This window comes from Homo sapiens, chromosome 9 (assembly GCF_000001405.40).
Source record: "Homo sapiens chromosome 9, GRCh38.p14 Primary Assembly".
Lineage (NCBI taxonomy): Eukaryota > Metazoa > Chordata > Mammalia > Primates > Hominidae > Homo > Homo sapiens.
The window spans coordinates 21047768-21049904 of record NC_000009.12 but is presented as its reverse complement, the minus strand read 5'-3'; the positions used below and the strand labels follow the sequence as shown (position 1 = coordinate 21049904).

At 40.9% G+C, this 2137-nt stretch overlaps 1 annotated feature.

The window, feature by feature from the left end:
• Positions 658-707: a silencer, noted in NCBI's record as "silent region_19805". NCBI's record gives its function as "represses an Ori minimal core promoter by ATAC-STARR-seq in GM12878 lymphoblastoid cells {active_cell/tissue: GM12878}" and the evidence as "EXISTENCE:reporter gene assay evidence [ECO:0000049][PMID:35858748]".

Sequence of the window (2137 nt, the reverse complement as noted above, 5' to 3'; positions counted from 1 at the left end):
CAGCATATAAAAGTACTTGGGAAAATGTTAAATAAAATGTGAAATCTCCTACCAAAATACATTTAAATTAAATCTCCTACAAAAAAATACATTTAAAGATAATTCAAGAAACTATTATTGCATTGTTTGCCACTTAAATATTTTAAACCCTAACAAAGCCTAATCAACTGCAACATATTTATTTAAGAAGCAAGTTACTGGTTTAAGAAGGACAATTTTGTTCCACCATAACTACTATGAGGATGAGGTGATACCTGTTTCATTAAGAAAAAGTTAACATGTCAATTTCTATTGATTAGTAGCAAAAATATTTTAGCACCAAAGTGAGTGTGCCATCCTTGCAAATTATATAGTTTAATCAATAATTTATTAAATTTTAGCAACAATGAGCCAAGCACCATGCTAACACCACACACACACACACACACACACACACACACACACACACACAGTGATGGGTGATTTGGGGTGTCGACTTAATTAAGGGATACCCAGATAGCTGGTAAAGCATTATTTACTCTGAATCATTGCATTAATCACCCTCAATGCTTCAGTGAGCTCTTCTGCTGAAAGAGAAAGCAGATGGTTTGGCATTTGACTAGAATGATTGGGCTGCCCCAGGTGTGTCTGTGAGGGTTTTTTCAGACGAGACTCGTGTGTGAGTCTGCAGACAGTGGGAAAGATCTGCCTTCAGCATAGACAGGCACCATCCAATCAGCTGGGGGCCCAGATGGAATAAAAAGGTGGAGGAAGGGCAAATTCTTGTTCTCTCTTCCAGAGCTGGGACACCTTTTTTCTCCTATTCTTGGATGTCGGAAGTCCAGGTTCTCCAGCTTTTGAATTCTGGGAGTCACACCAGCAGCCTCCCAGCCCCGTAGCTCTCTGGCCTCGGACTGACAGTTGCATCATTGACTTGCCTGGTTCTGAGGTTCAGACTTGGATGAACCACACCCCCGGCTTCCCTGGTTCTCCAGCCTGCAGACAGCCTATCACCAGACTTCTCAGCCTCCATAGTCAAGTGAGAATTTCCCCTAATAAGCCCCTTCCCATATATTTCTCTACATGTCCTATTGTTTCCTGGAAGAACTGTAACACACCAAACAAAGTATGACTTCTTCCCCACCACAATGCTGTGAAGTTAGAACAAATATTTCACAGACAAGAAAACTAGGGCTTAAAAGGATGAATGAGCACCTCACTCAATGTCTCTTAGGCACTAACTCTAACTTGATCATTATATTCATATTGTTTTTGAAAACACTTTAACATTTTTGACAATAAATCATTATGGCTTAGTTATCATCTTAAAGATTTTTCTCTTCAGTTCATCACCCATCGATGTTATCTGCTTCTAAACTATACTCTAACACCTGTGAGGATTGCATCCTCAAGATCTTCTGCAACACCCCAACACTGGTGTTGTGTATATTTTCCCATATACACATAAAGGGCAGGTCCATCCAGCACTACCAAGCCCATTTAGGGGCCTGTACACTGAGCTTGGGAAGCTAGGCTTACACAGCCCTGCACTCAGCCTCCCAGCCTGTGTGTACAATTCAAGTTTGTACCTTGATGAAATCACAAACATCTTAAAGGTATCTCTCAAATCAAAGCCAAACAAGCTAAATGCCTAATCACCAAAGATCTTCAACACAGTATGCTTCTAGGTGAGCTAACAATTTTCCTATTAGAAAATTTCTGATGTTCAAAGAAACTCTTGAAGACATTCCTTCTCTGAGAGAGAAGGAACCTTAGTTCAGGAACAGCAGAGCCAAGAAGGTGAGGACACATCCCTCTCCTGTGTATTCCTTGGCATCCTTCCCTTACCCCCTCTCACGATAATATCCTGTCTTTATTTCGTAAGCAAATTTAGTCATTTATTTTCCACAGCATTCTTTCCCTGGGTCTTCAAACATGCATAGCTTCCCAAGTGTGGAGAAAAACTTTGATAGTAATATCCACAATTTTCCTGGAGTATGGTTCTTTACCATCCCCAAGGAGTTGTTATGGGGTTACCTGGCAGTATTCTCAATAGCAGCTGTTTCAAACAACATTAAACCCCAGTTCATGAGTAGCTGCTCCTCACCTTGTATTGTGCTGGGTGGGGGTGAGGATACAAAGGTTCCTGTACTCGGAA